General features: G+C 40.3%; 1 protein-coding gene across 17 annotated transcripts in view; it reads left to right on the top strand.

Annotated features, from left to right (window-relative positions):
• The window catches only part of LIPA (lipase A, lysosomal acid type), a 201,108-nt gene that overhangs the window by 88,867 nt on the left and 96,268 nt on the right, over positions 1 to 15,973 (top strand). For 7 of the 17 annotated variants that reach the window (NM_001440824.1, NM_001440827.1, NM_001440828.1 and 4 more), the window contains one exon: positions 11,154 to 11,270. The exons of the other annotated variants lie outside the window; for them this stretch is intronic. Coding sequence is in view for 1 of the 7 variants with exons in the window: in NM_001440836.1 (NP_001427765.1) it covers positions 11,154 to 11,270 (117 nt within the window). In the remaining 6 variants the exon portion in view is untranslated. The remainder of the gene's footprint in view (positions 1 to 11,153; positions 11,271 to 15,973) is intronic. 17 annotated transcript variants of the gene reach the window in all.

The raw sequence follows: 15,973 nt of genomic DNA, 5'->3' as shown, positions 1-15,973 counted from the left end.
GCATGTCATGAGGCTTTAGTGTACAGATTATTTAGTCACCCCACTCATAAGCATAGTACATGATAGGTAGTTTTTCAGTCCTCTCTCTTCACCCATTCTTTACCCTCAAGTAGGCCCCAGTGTCTGTTGTTCCCCTCTTTGTGTCCATAATGTTCAGTTCCCACTTATAAGTGAGAACATGCAGTATTTGGTTTTCTCTTCCTGCATTAGTTTACTTAGGATAATGGCCTCCAGTTCCATTCACATTACTGCAAAGGACATGATATTCTTTTTTTTGTGGCTGCATAGTAGTCCATGGTGTATATGTACCACATTTCCCTTATCCTGTCTTCTGTTGATGGGCATTTAGGTTGAGTCCATGTCTTTGCTATTGTGAATAGTGCTATGATGAACATACTTGAACATGTGTCTTTATGGCAGAATGATTTATATTCCTTTGGGTATGTACCCAATAATAGGATTGCTGGGTTGAATGGTACTTCTATTTTAAGTTCTTTGAGAAATTACCACATTGCTTTCCATAGTGACTGAACTAATTTACATTCTCACCAGCAGTTTGTAAGTGTTCCCTTTTCTCTGTAACCTCACCAGCATCTGTTATTTTTGTTGACTTTTTAATAATAGTCATTCTGACTGGTATGACATGATATCTCATTGTGGTTTTGATTTGCATTTTTCTAATGATTAATGATATTGAGTATTTTTTCATATTCTTTTTTTTAGGGTATCTGAAGGAAGAAATTTATTTTCTTTTTTTATTATTATACTTTAATTTCTTGGGTACATGTGCACAATGTGCAGGTTTGTTACATAGGTATACATGTGCCATGTTGGTTCATATGTTTATTGCGGCACTATTTGCAATAGCAAAGACTTGGAACCAACCCAATAGACTGGGTAAAGAAAATGTGGCACATATGCACCATGGAATACAATGCATCCATAAAAAAGGATGAGTTGTGTCCTTTGCAGGGACATGGATGAAGCTGGAAACCATCATTTTCAGCAAAATATCACAAAGGACAGAAAACCAAACACCACATATTTTTTCATATTCTTATTGGCCGCATGCATGTCTTCTTTTAAAAAGTGTCTGTTCATGTCCTTTGCCCACTTTTTAATGGAGCTGTTTGCTTTTTTGCTTGTTAATTTGCTTAAGTTTCTTATAGATTCTCAATATTAGACCTTTGGTTATGCATAGTTTGCAGATATTTTCTCCCATCTGTCAGTTGCTTGTTTACTCTGTTGATAGTTTCTTTTGCTATCAGAAGCTCTTTAGTTTAATTAGGTCCCGTTTGTCAATTTTTGGTTTTGTCGTAGTTGCTTTTGGTGTCTTCATCATGAAATCTTTGCTGGTTTCTATGTTGAGAATCGTATTTCCTAGGTTATCTTCCAGGGTTTTAATATTTTTAGGTTTTACATTTCATCCATCTTGAGTTGATTTCCATATATGATGTAAGGAAGGGGTCCAATTTCAGTCTTCTATATATGGCTAGCCAGTTATCCCAGCACCCTTTATTGAACAGGGAATCATTTCCCCATTGCTTGTTCTTGTCAGCTTTGTTGAAGATCAGATGGCTGTAGGTGTGTGCCCTTAAGTTTGGGCTCTCTATTCTGTTCCATTGGTCTATGTGTCTGTTTTTGTACCAGTACCATGCATTTTGGTTACTATAGCCTTGTAGTATAGTTCAAAGTCAGGTAACATGGGCTCTCTATTCTGTTCTATTGGTCTATGTGTCTGTTTTTGTACCAGTACCATGCTATTTTGGTTACTGTAGCCTTATAGTATAGTTCAAAGTCAGGTAACATGATGCCTCCAGCTTTGTTCTTTTTGCTTAGGATTGCTTTGGGTATTTGAGCACTTTTTGTTCTATAGGAATTTTAAAATAGGTTTTTCTAATTCTATGAAGACTGTCATTGGTAGCTTGTTAGGAATAGCATTGAATTTGTAAATTGCTTTGGGTAGTATGGCCATTTTAGCAATATCGATTCTTCCTATCCATGAGCATTTCCATTTGTTTGTGTCATCTCTGATTTCTTTGAACAATGTTTTGTAATTCTCATTGTAGAGATCTTTCACCTCCTGCGTTAGCTGTATTTCTAGGTATTTTATTCTTTTTGTGGCTATTGTGAATGGGATTGTCTTCCTGATTTGGCTCTCGGCTTGGATTTTGTTAGTGTATAGGAATGCTACTCATTTTTGTATGTTGATTTTGTATCCTGGAACTTTGCTGAAGCTGTTTATTAGACCTACGAGCTTTTGGGTAGAGACGTGGGGGTTTTCTAGGTATGCAATCAAATTGTCTGCAAAGATAGATAGTTTGACTTCCTCTCTTCCTATCTAGGTGCCTTTTATTTCATTCTCTTGCCTGCTTGCTCATGCTAGCAGTACTCTGTTGAATAGGAGTGCTAAGAGTGGGCATCCCTGTATTTTTCCAGTTCTCAAGGGGAAATCTTTCAGCTTTCGCCCATTCAGTATGATGTTGACCTTGGGTTTATCATAGATGGCTCTTATTATCTGGAGGTATGTTCCTTCAATATCTAGTTTGTTGAGGATTTTTAACATTAATGGATGTTGAATTTTATCAAAAGCCTTTTCTGTATCTATTGAGATGATCACGTGGTTTCAGTTTTAAGTTCTGCTTATGTGGTGAATCACATTTATTGATTTGTGTATGTTGAACCAACAGAAACAAGAATTTTATAAAGGAATGGGAAATGAGAATTTGGCTGTGGGACATAAATTGGAAGCTCTAGCAGGCATGGCTTGCCTGGCTACAAGAGGCCAGGGTAGGTGGGGTTGCCTACCTTGCCTGAATGTTTCCCAGGACAACAGGAGGCTGTGCTCTCTGGCTGAATTCAGACAGAAGTGGAACCACTGGGATGGAAGCTCTAGCAAGTGTTGCCTGCCTGGCAACCAGTGGCAGGGGTAGATGTAGTCACCTGTCTTGCCCTCCAGGTGCTTCCTGGGAGAACAGGAGGCTATGGTCACTGGCTGAGTTCAGACAGAGAAGTAGGACCAGTAGGCTGGAAGCTGGCACCAAGCCCCATCCAGAAAGGGTTTGAGATGGGGCAATCTTACTGCTCCTAGGCACTGGGACTGCAGCCTTTATTGGGCTATGGCACCAGTGCTGGTCTTCTTGGGGGCACAAGGCTTGCAGAAGTCTCCTTGGACTAGAGAGTTGCCCTCCAAAATGTCTGGGGGGCTCTCTGCCTCAGTCTAGAAGCACGGTGGTGGGGTCGGGGGTGGGCAGGGGTTTCAGGGGCATTCTCCCATTTCCAGTCTTGCACAGGTCCCTGTCGAGAGTGTGAATCCCCTAGGGGGTTCTCACTCACTCACCCTTTCCAGTGTTGGAGAAATTCTCCTGGATCCACGCTGAGCCCGGACAGGCTGGTATCTAGCTTCACCCCTTTCTGCTCTCTGTAATCCCCTTACATCTTGAAGGATCCCGAATCCCTGACATGATTTCTCAGATGATTGGCCTGCAGGGTCAATGCTCACTAGCCCTTTTGTTTCCTTTCCGTGATAGCCTGGCACATGAGTTGCTTCTAGTTTACCATCTTAACCCCGAGCTCGAAACTGCATTTTTTAAAATTTTACTTTAAGTTCTAGGATACATGTGCACAACACGCAGGTTTGTTACATATGTATACTTGTGCCATGTTGGTGTGCTGCACCCATTAACTCGTCATTTACATTAGGTATATCTCCTAATGCTAACCCTCCTCCCTCCCCCTACCCCATGACAGGCCCCAGTGTGTGATGCTCCCCATCCTGTGTCCAGTTGTTCTTATTGCTCAGTTCCGACTTATGAGTGAGAACATGCGGTGTTTGGTTTTCTGTCCTTGCGATAGTTTGCTCAGAATGATGGTTTCCAGCTTCATCCATGTCCCTACAAAGGACATGAACTCATCCTTTTTTATGGCTGCATAGTATTCCATGGTGTATATGTGCCACATTTTCTTAATCCAGTCTATCATTGATGGACATTTGGGTTGGTTCCAAGTCTTTGCTATTGTGAATAGTGCTGCAATAAACATACGTGTACATGTGTCTTTATAGCAGCATGATTTATAATCCTTTGGATATATACCCAGTAATGGGATGGCTGGGTCAAATGGTATTTCTAGTTCTAGATCCTTGAGGAATCGCCACACTGTCTTCCACAATGGTTGAACTAGTTTACAGTCCTACCAACAGTGTAAAAGTGTTCCTATTTCTCCACATCCTCTCTAGCACCTGTTGTTACTGACTTTTTAATGATGGCCATTCTAACGGGTGTGAGATGGCATCTCATTGTGGTTTTGATTTGCATTTCTCTGATGGCCAGTGATAATGAGCTCTTTTTCATGTGTCTGTTGGCTGCATAAATGTCTTCTTTTGAGAAGTGTCCATTCATAGCCTTTGCCCACTTTTTGATGGGGTTGTTTGATTTTTTTCTTGTAAATTTGTTTAAGTTTTTTGTAGATTCTGGATATTAGTCCTTTGTCAGATGGGTAGATTGTAAAAATTTTCTCCCACTCTGTAGGTTGCCTGTCCACTCTGATGGTAGTTTCTTTTGCTGTGCAGAAGCTCTTTAGTTTAATTAGATCCCATTTGTCAATTTTGGCTTTTGTTGCCATTGCTTTTGGTGTTTTAGACATGAAGTCCTTGCCCATGCCTATGTCCTGAATGGTATTGCCTAGGTTTTCTTCTAGGGTTTTTATGGTTTTAGGTCTAACATTTAAATCTTTAATCCATCTTGAATTAATTTTTGTATAAGGTGTAAGGAAGGGATCCAGTTTCAGCTTTCTACATATGGCTAGCCAGTTTTCCCAGCACCATTTATTAAATAGGGAATCCTTTCCCCATTGCTTGTTTTTGTCAGGTTTGTCAAAGATCAGATGGTTGTAGATGTGTGGTATTATTTCTGAGGGCTCTGTTCTGTTCCATTGGTCTATATCTCTGTTTTGGTACCAGTACCATGCTGTTTTGGTTACTGTAGCCTTGTAGTATAGTTTGAAGTCAGGTAGTGTGATGGCTCCAGCTTTGTTCTTTTGGCTTAGGATTGTCTTGGCAATGCAGGCTCTATTTTGGTTCCATATGAACTTTAAAGTAGTTTTTTCCAATTCTGTGAAGAAAGTCATTGGTAGTTTGATGGGGATGGCATGAATCTATAAATTACCTTGGGCAGTATGGCCATTTTCACGATATTGATTCTTCTTATCCATGAGCATGGAATGTTCTTCCATTTGTTTGTGTCCTCTTTTATTTCATTGAGCAGTGGTTTGTAGTTCTGCTTGAAGAGGTCCTTCACATCCCTTGTAAGTTGGATTCCTGGGTATTTTATTCTCTTTGAAGCAATTGTGAATGGGAGTTCACTCATGATTTGGCTCTCTGTTTGTCTGTTATTGGTGTATAGGAATGCTTGTGATTTTTGCACATTGATTTTGGATCCTGAGACTTTGCTGAAGTTGCTTATCAGCTTAAGGAGCTTTTGGGCTGAGACTATGGGGTTTTCTAAATATACAATCATGTCATCTGCACACAGGGACAATTTGACTTCCTCTTTTCCTAATTGAATACCCTTTATTTCTTTCTCCTGCCTGATTGCCCTGGCCAGAACTTCCAACACTGTTTTGAATAGGAGTGTTGAGAGAGGGCATCCCTGTCTTGTGCCAGTTTTCAAAGGGAATACTTCCAGTTTTTGCCCATTCAGTATGATATTGGCTGTGGGTTTGTCATAAATAGCTCTTATTATTTTGAGATATGTCCCATCAATACCTAGTTTATTGAGAGTTTTTAGCATGAAGGGCTACTGAATTTTGTTAAAGGCCTTTTCTGCATCTATTGAGATAATCATGTGGTTTTTGTCTTTGGTTCTGTTTTTATGCTGGATTACATTTATTAATTTGCATATGTTGAACCAGCCTTGCATCCCAGTGATGAAGCTAACTTGATCATGGTGGATAAGCTTTTTGATGTGCTGCTGGATTCAGTTTGCCAGTATTTTATTGAGGATATTTGCATTGCATCGATGTTCATCAGGGGTATTGGCCTGATATTCTCTTTTTTTGTTGTGTTTCTGCCAGGCTTTGGTATCAGGATGATGCTGGCCACATCAAATGAGTTAGGGAGGATTCCCTCTTTTTCTATTGATTGGAATAGTTTCAGAAGGAATGGTACCAGCTCGTCTTTGTACCTCTGGTAGAATTCAGTTGTGAATCCATCTGGTCATGGACTTTTTTTGGTTGGTAGGCTATTAATTATTGCCTCAATTTCAGACCCTGTTATTGGTCTATTCAGGAATTCAACTTCTTCCTGGTTTAGTCTTGGGAGGGTGTATGTGTCCATGAATTTATCCATTTCTTCTAGATTTTCTAGTTTATTTGCATAGAGGTGTTTATAGTATTCTCTGATGATAGTTTGTATTTCTGTGTGATTGGTGGTGATATCCCCTTTATCATTTTTAATTGCATCTATTTGATTCTTCTCTCTTTTCTTCTTTATTAGTCTTGCTAGTGGTCTATCAATAATGTTGATCCTTTCAAAAAATCAGTTCCTGGATTCATTGATTTTTTTGAAGGGTTTTTTGTCTCTATCTCCTTCAGTTCTGCTCTGATCTTAGTTATTTCTTGCCTTCTGCTAGCTTTTGAATGTGTTTGCTCTTGCTTCTCTAGTTCTTTTAATTGTAATATTAGGTGTCAATTTTAGATCTTTCCTGCTTTCTCTTGTGGGCATTTAGTGCTATAAATTTCCCTCTATACACTGCTTTAAATATGTCCCAGAGATTCTGGTGTGTTGTGTCTTTGTTCTCATTGGTTTCAAAGAACATCTTTATTTCTGCCTTCATTTTCTTATGTACCCAGTAGTCATTCAGGAGCACGTTGTTCAGTTTCCATGTAGTTGAGCAGTTTTGAGTGAGTTTCTTAATCCTGAGTTCTAGTTTGATTGCACTGTGGTCTGAGAGACAGTTTGTTATAATTTCTGTTCTTTTACATTTGCTGAGGAGTGCTTTACTTCCAACTATGTGGTCAGTTTTGGAATAAGTGCAATGTGGTGCTGAGAAGAATGTATATTCTGTTGATTTGGGGTGGAGAGTTCTGTAGATGTCTATTAGGTCTGCTTGGTGCAGAGCTGAGTTCAACTCCTGGATATCCTTGTTAACTTTCTGTCTCGTTGATCTGTCTAATGTTGACAGTGGGGTGTTAAAGTCTCCTGTTATTATTGTTTGGGAGTCTACATCTTTTTGTAGGTCTCTAAGGACTTGCTTTATGAACCTGGGTGCTCCTGTGTTGGGTGCATATATATTTAGGATAGTTAGCTCTTCTTGTTGAATTGATCCCTTTACCATTATGTAATGGCCTTCTTTGTCTCTTTTGATCTTTGTTGGTTAAAGTCTGTTTTATCAGAGACTAGGATTGCAACCCTGCTTTTTTTATTTTCCATTTGCTTGGTAGATCTTCCTCTATCCCTTTATTTTTAGCCTATGTGTGTCTCTGCCATGAGATGGCTCTCCTGAATACAGCACACTGATGGTTCTTGACTCTTTAGCCAATTTGCCAGTCTGTGTCTTTTAATTGGGGTATTTAGCCCATTTACATTTAAGGTTAATATTGTTATGTGTGAATATGATCCTGTCCTTATCATGTTAGCTGGTTATTTTGCTCGTTAGCTGATGCCGTTTCTTCCTAGCACCGATGGTCTTTACACTTTGACATGTTTTGCAGTGGCTGGTACCGGTTGTTCCTTTCCATGTTTAGTGCTTCCTTCAGGAGCTCTTGTAAGGCAGGCCTGGTGGTGACAAAATCTCTCAGCCTTTGCTTGTCTGTAAAGGATTTTATTTCTCCTTCACTTATGAAGCTTAGTTTGGCTGGATATGAAATTCTGGGTTGAAAATTCTTCTCTTTAAGAATGTTGAATATTGGCCCCCACTCTCTTCTGGCTTGTAGAGTTTCTGCCGAGACATCTGCTGTTAGTCTGATGGGCTTCCCTTTGTGGGTAACCTGACCCTTCTCTCTGGCTGCCTTTAACATTTTTTCCTTCATTTCAACTTTGGTGAATCTGCTAATTATGTGTCTTGGAATTGCTCTTCTCGAGGAATATCTTTGTGGCGTTCTCCGTATTTCCTGAATTTGAATGTTAGCCTCCCTTGCTAGGTTGGGGAAGTTCTCCTGCATAATATCCTGCAGAGTGTTTTCCAACTTGGTTCCATTCTCCGTGTCACTTTCAGGTACACCAGTCAGATGTATGTTTGGTCTTTTCACATAGTCCCATATTTCTTGGAGGCTTTGTTCATTTCTTTTTACTCTTTTTTCTCTAAACTTCTCTTCTCACTTCATTTCATTCATTTGATCTTCAATCACTAATACCCTTTCTTCCAGTTGATGAATTGGCTACTGAAGGTTGTGCATGCGTCATATAGTTCTCATGCCATGGTTTTCAGCTCCATCACATCATTTAAGGTCTTCTCTACGCTCTTTATTCTAGTTAGCCATTCGTCGAATCTTTTTTCAAGGTTATTAGCTTCTTTGCCATGGGTTCAAACATCCTCCCTTAGCTCGAAGAAATTTGTTATTACCGATTGTCTGCAGCCTTCTTCTCTCAACTCATCAAAGTCATTCTCCGTCCAGCTTTGTTCCATTGCTGGCAAGCAGCTGCATTCCTTTGGAGGAGAAGAGGCACTCTGATTTTTTAGAATTTTCAGCTTTTCTGCTCTGGTTTCTCCCCATCTTTGTGGTTTTATCTACCTTTGGTCTTTGATGATGGTGACATACAGATGGGGTTTTGGTGTGGATGTCCTTTCTGTTTTTTAGTTTTCCTTCTAACAGTCAGGACCCTCAGCTGCAGGTCTGTTGGAGTTTGCTGGAAGTCCACTCCAGACCCTGTTTGCCTGGGTATCACCAGTGGAGGCTGCAGAAAGGCAAATGTTGCTGCCTGATCCTTTCTCTGGAAGCTTCATCGCAGAGGTGCACTCTGCCGTATGAGGTGTCAGTCAGCCCCTACTGGGAGGTGCCTTCCAGTTAGGCTACTCAGGGAGGAGTAACAGACTAACTCCCACTTGAGGAGGCAGTCTGTCCATTCTCAGATCTCAAACTCCGTGCTGGGAGAACCACTACTCTCTTCAAAGCTGTCAGACAAGGGTGTTTAAGTCTACAGAAGTTTCTGCTGCCTTTTGTTCAGCTATACCCTGCCCCAGAGGTGGAGTCTATAGAGGCAGGCAGGCCTCCTTGAGCTGTGGTGGGCTCCACCCAGTTTGAGCTTCCTAGCCACTTTGTTTACCTACTCAAGCCTCAGCAATGGTGGGCGCCCCTCCCCCAGCCTCACTGCTGCCTTGCAGTTCCATCTCAGACTGCTGTGCCAGCAGTGAGCAAGGCTCCCTGGGCATGGGACCCTCTGAGCCAGGAGCAGGATATAATCTCCTGGTGTTCTGTTTGCTAAGACCGTTGGAAAAGCGCAGTATTAGGGTGGGAGTGTCTCAATATTCCAAGTACCATCTGTCATGGCTTCCCTTGGCTAGGAAAGGGAATTCCCTGACTCCTTGCACTTCCCGGGTGAGGCGATGCCCCGCCCTGCTTTGGCCCACACTGTGTGGGCTGCACCCACTATCTGACAAGCCCCAGTGAGATGAACCCAGTACCTCAGTTGGAAATGCAGAAACTACCATCTTCTGCATCACTCATGCTGGGAGCTATAGACTGGAGCTGTTCCTATTTGGCCATCTTGGAACCTCCTCTGAAACTGCATTTTTAATAATGTCTCTAGGAGATTCTGATGTAGGGGTTTCTGGGAGCCGGTTATATGAAAGACTTCCAAAATGTTTTGTAAAAAAAATAGTAGTTTTAGTATACATATGTAACTAACCTGCACAATGTGCACATGTACCCTAAAACTTAAAGTATAATAAAAAAAAATAGTAGTTTTGTCCAGTAAATTGTCCCCCAGAAGTAAATTTAGACCTAGAGACCTAGATTTAATTATCTCTGTTTACTTTACTAGTTCTCGAATTTTCCAGGGGCCATATCATTGAGCCAGAATTTCCTTTTTGCCTCACACTAAACATACGAAGCCAGGCCCTGGAGGGATCTGTGAGCTGTTTAGCTTTCCAAGCTCTGGATAATAATTTAGTTTACCCAGCTGTAAAATGGGCAAAAGTAATACACATATTATTGTTTAATGGATGGATTATATATTTATGCTTTGAGCTCTGAAGGAGTTGATACTACCCTGAGAGGTTTTTTTTTTCTTTTCATTTTTATAATACTTCCCAACCATGATGTAAATATTCATAAAAACCTAGGGAGTATAGTTGTCATGACTAATTTGATAATGAAGGAATTGTTAGCTAGAAGCGTTTCCTCCATCCTGTAGCTGCACAAAGCAGAGACTCTTGTGTAGCAAAATTAACATGACATATGGTGTTTCCAACAACAGAGTCTCATGAGATACTTCGAGTTCAGAGGTTGTTATAGTCTAAGAAAGAAACCTGCAACTTGGAAAAGTCTAATTCTGATTGGTTGTTTAACTTAACAATTTGTTATCTTGGTGATAATAAAGTGACATATCTTTATAAAAGGTACATATATTTGTGATATCATAAATGGTATAAATACCATCCTTATACCCAGTTAGAAGGTGCCTTTGGCCCCGTGCTTTAGAGGGTCCCATATATCACAGATACAAACATGTAAAATTTTGAAAGAACAAATAGCACCTCTGTTACTCAGAATCCAGTGCTTAATTCTGGTAGAATTGGACTTGAAACCCTAAACATCCAGCCCAGGGAAAAGTTGCCTATCTTCCCTTCTTTGCTCACAATGAATGGAGATTATATCATGCATGTTTGTGCATTGTGAGGGAGCTGATTTTTAGAGACAGATTCTGCTTTGGAGTTCAGAGAGGATTGTAGCAATAAAGATCAGAGAAAAGGCAAATTCAGCAAACTGCTCAAAGACTGTCTTTCACCAGAATGCAATAGATTCTTATGTAATGAATAATTATTTTTCCAGTACAGTAGGACCTATTGTCCATTTTCTTGCTTTTCTTTTTGTTCTAATTCCTGGCTCAAAAAGTACTCATGAATTAGCAGTATTTGCAACAGTTGCACATGGTGACTGAATAACATTCTGCATCATTAAGAAATTCATACTATTCTTTTTTTTCTTTTTGACAGAGTCTCGCTCTGTAGCCAGGCTGGAGTGCAGTGGCACAATCTCGGCTCACTGCAACCTTCACCTCCTGGGTTCAAGAAATTCACCTGCCTCAGCCTCCCGAATAGTTGGGACTGCAGGTACCCACCACCATACCCACCTAATTTTTGTATTTTTAGTGGAGATGGGGTTTCACCATGTTGGCCAGGATGGTCTCGATCTCTAAACCTCGTGATCCACCCGCCTTGGCCTCCCAAAGTGTTGGGATTAGAGGCGTAAGCCACTGCGCTCGGGCATAAATTCACATTATTCTTAAACTTGTACACATGCAGATTTGAACTTACATATGGAGTCAAATTCTCTTCTGTATTTGGACTCTTTCTTTGTGCCAATTTGCCAATCAGTAAGGTTCCTGCGTATGAGTATTTAAATATAAAATCAGATGGGACCAGATTTTCATAGCACACCCAACTCAGAAAATAGAATACATAACTTATCTAACATATCTACCGAATGTGAAAGCAATGACAGTATTCAAAATGCTACTAATAAGGATACAACACAATGAAAACAAACTTAGAAGTAAAAATAGATAACAAAAGAAAAATTTTCTTTATTATATTTGGAATAAGAGTGCCCATTTTTAACAGCTATAATAAAATATAATTCACATATCATATAATCCACTCATTTAAAGTATACAATTCAATAGCTTTCATTATATTCACAGTTATGCAACCAGCACCACAATCAATTATAGAACATTCTCAAGCTGTCATCTCCCATCGTCACAACCCCCTCCCCTAGCCTTAGGCAACTGCTAATCTATTTTCTGTGTCTATAAATTTGCCTCCGTTCCACATTTCATATAAACAGAATCATACAATATGTGACTTTTTAAATTGCCTTTTGTCACTTTGCATGTTTTCAAGGTTCATCTGTGTTGTATCATGTATCAGTAAGTACTTCACTTATTTTTGTTTCCAAATAATATTCCATTATGTGGCTCTACCATATTTAATTTATCAATTCATCAGTTGATGGGTCCACTTTTTGGCCATCATGAATAATACAGCTATGAACATTCATGCACAAGTTTTGTGTGAACCTATGTTTTCATGTTTTCCTTTTTCTTACATATGTATCTAGGAATGGAATTGCTGGGTCATATGGTAACTATGTTTAACCATTTGAAGAACTGTCCAACTATTTTCCAAAGTGGCTGCACCATTTTACATTAAACATACTTATTTTTGAGGTAATACAGATTTTCTTATCTGAGATCTCAAGAGATGAGTTACTGAAAGAGAGAGAAGGCTGTAGGAAGGAAAATGTGCTGGTATGATCTTCATTTCTGACTAAAGGATAAACTGAAAAATGGAACCAGATTGAATTGGTTGCAGTTCAGTCTATACCTCTGCTATTCAAGGTGTAGTTTACAGACTACAGGCCTTGTTTTGACCTGAGAGCTTGTGAGAAATACAGAGTCTCAGGCTCCACCCAGATCTACTGAATCATAGTCTACATTTTAACAAGATCCTCAGGTGATTGTGCACATGAAAGTAGGCACTGCACATTAAAGTCTGAGAAATACTGGTCTAGTTAGAACTCTAGATATTCTACAGGTAATAACATGTAAGACAGTGCTGGACTACACACAAAAGTGTGTGCTCGTGTGATTGAAAGCTAGAGTGTATTCTAGGTATGCAAGCCATGTCCTCTGCCAGTCATTTTCTCCCTCCTCCCATGTCTCCTTCTTGGATAATTTGCTCTCATTCCTGCAGAAAGCATGCACTCTAAGCCCCTGCTTTCTCTGGAATATGATCTCATTCTCTTGGTCAACTGGATTATTATTATTATTATTTTTTTTTTTTGAGAGGGAGTCTTGCTGTGTCACCCAGCCTGGAGAGCAGTGGTGCAATCTCGGCTCACTGCAAGCTCTGCCTCCCAGGTTCACGCCATTCTCCTGCCTCAGCCTCCCGAGTAGCTGGGACTACAGGTGCCCGCCACCACGCCTGTCTAATTTTTTGTATTTTTTAGTAGAGATGGGGTTTCACCGTGTTAGCCAGGAGGGTCTCGATCTCCTGACCTCGTGATCCGCCCGCCTCAGTCAACTGGATTCTATTGGTAATGGATATTGACTTGAAATGAGACAAACAGATATTTCTTTGGAATTTTGATCAGAAGAAAGTGATTCTAGAAAGTCTTTATTGAATTATTATTATTATTTATTTTTTGAGACAGGGTCTCATCTCACTGTGTTGCCCAGGCTGTAGTGCAGTGGCACGATCTCAGCTCACTGAAGCCCCCACCTCCTGGGCTCAAGTGTTCCTCCTACCTCAGCATCCCAAGTAGATGGGACTACAGGTGCATGCCACCAAGCCCAGCTAAGTTTTGTATTTTTTGTAGAGATAGGGTTTCACCATGCTGTCCAGGCTGGTCTCGAACTCCTGGGCTCAAACAATCCGCTCACCTCAGCCTCCCAAAGTGTGGCGATTACAGGTGTGAGCCACTGCACCTGGCCTTTGTTGAATTATTAGGAGAAGAGATAAATAACCTGGTAGGCATGTTTTCCACTTCATGCACAGAGACGCAAAGTCATCTCTAGAAAGAGAAACTTGAAGGAAGAAGACGTAAAGGGAAGATAAAAGTGAGAAAGAAGGAGAGAAAAAGGAAGAGAGAGATGGTGGGGACAGACAGAGAGAGAGGAGAGAAAACTAGCATTCTGGGTGTGGAGAGGATTTCCGTCATACAGATTCCACACTTGAATATTTTATTTTTCTGTGATCTATACGCCAGTGCCTTTTTTGGAAATATATGCATGCACTCATCAGATTGACAAAAATTAAAGACTGGTAACATTCAGTATTGGTGAAGATGCTGAAAACAGTATTTCTCATACATTGCTAGTGGAAATAATAATTTCCTTTTTAACACCTAGACAAATCAACTCTTTTCCATAACCTAAAAGCCTTAATCATTATTTAAAATGTTTCTATTTAAATATTCTAGTGAACTCTAGTTTTCCTTAATCAACAATTAGAAGATATATTACAAAGTTTTATACATATGTTTTAAAGCTCCAACTTATGTAGGTGTTTCACTAAATGCAAAAAACGTACAAGTAGGTTTGAGGGTTTTTTTTTTTTTTTTTTTTTGAGACAGGGTCTACCTCTGTCACCCAGGCTGGAGTGCAGTGGTACCATCTCACTGCAACTACCACCTCCCAGGTTCATGAGATTCTCCTGCCTCAACCTCCTGAGTAGCTGGGATTACAGGCACACACCGCCATGCCTGGTTAATTTTTTTTTGTATTTTTTTTGGTAGAGATGGGGTTTCACCATATTGATCAGGCTGGTCTGGAACTCCTGACCTCAGGTGATCTACCCTCCTTGGCCTCCCAAAGTGCTGGGATTTTAGGCTTGAGCCACCACGCCCAGCCAGGTTTGAGTTTTTAAATGTAGTGCTTGATGACAAATTAGTAAGTTTCATTTAAAAATGAGAAAGGAAAATGTGTGCTCAGTGGTTTTATATCACAGTGCCTTTGCTCTGTAATATCTGTGAATCAAAAGCAGAACATAAATAGGCTCATTTACTTGGGATATCCAGGATTCTGGAAAGGTAAAGAAAGACTTTTCAAATATTTTAATTAGATTATATCTGTATAAACACACTGGGGCCAATTTCCAGATCTCTAGAAGGGTTTCAGGAATTTCTAGGTTCAGGGCAGAATTTACTATATATTTTTACATTTTACTCAGAAATAACACAAACTATGACTCATTATGTTTCCAAAACAAGTGAGACATAAACCAAGGCTCTGGGGTCTATTTGTATCGTTTACCTGTTTGGTAGCCTCCTTTTCAACAGCAGCCTACAGAGAACCAGAGGAGAAGCAGAACTGTTTGGGATTTGTTTCCACAGGCTTCCAACAAATCCTGCCTCTGGTCTCTTCTCTAGTCTTAAGTCCTGTATGTAAAGCAGCTGAAGGGAGGCCCCATGTAGAGCTGAGAATGCCTCTCTTACAAGTGCATGCACCTAGGTACATCTAAGGATTTTAGTGGGTTTCCCTCTTTGCAGCCTCCCTAGAAGGTGTAGATAATCAGCAATGAGGTAGCTGCACTATTAATCATGGGGAAAATTTCTTACATATTAGTCTAAGTTAGTCCCTTTTCCAAAAAGGGCAATAGGGCAAATGTAGGTTGCAAACTGCAACCCTCAGATTGGCATCCAAGGTTGATTGCACGTATGGTAGGGATCCTAACACAAGGCCTATCTGTGTTATAATCAGAATTCTAATGCTTCCAGTCTTCCAGTTGCACTGGATCCAGTTGTATTGGATATGTCAATTGACATAGGGTATGAAGGAAGGTGAAAGTGCAGCATGACTCAAGGTCAGCTGTCCCCAGGGACTGTGTCTGAGCTCTATGGAGAAAGACAAGCAGAAGTGATGAATCTTTTTCACTGAGGACTCTGAGGCAGAGAAATAAATAAGAACTACTTGGAACCAACACAGAGATAAGAGGAATTCTTCTCACTCTTTCACTGGCACTAACACACTTGAAAACATTGTTGGCAGAGATATTAGTACTCTCAAGGTGGCAATCAAATACAGAGAATGTGAAATGTATTGAAGGCAGTTTTAGGGGCAATGGTCATTGATGGATATGGGTGTTGAAGCTACATAAGTAGCAGATGTGGTCCGATAACTCTGATAAACGGGTTCATGAGCACATAGGAGACATCTACTAGGGGCTTGCCGTGTTGGATGAATATATGAAGGGAGTCAAATGTCCTGCCCCGGGAAATGTGGCTAAAAGGCTGGGAATTACAAGTCAAGCCC

The sequence above is a fragment of the Homo sapiens genome, chromosome 10 (genome assembly GCF_000001405.40).
Source record: "Homo sapiens chromosome 10, GRCh38.p14 Primary Assembly".
Lineage (NCBI taxonomy): Eukaryota > Metazoa > Chordata > Mammalia > Primates > Hominidae > Homo > Homo sapiens.
Note: the sequence above shows the minus strand (reverse complement) of the source record. Positions and strands in the feature narration are given on the sequence as shown.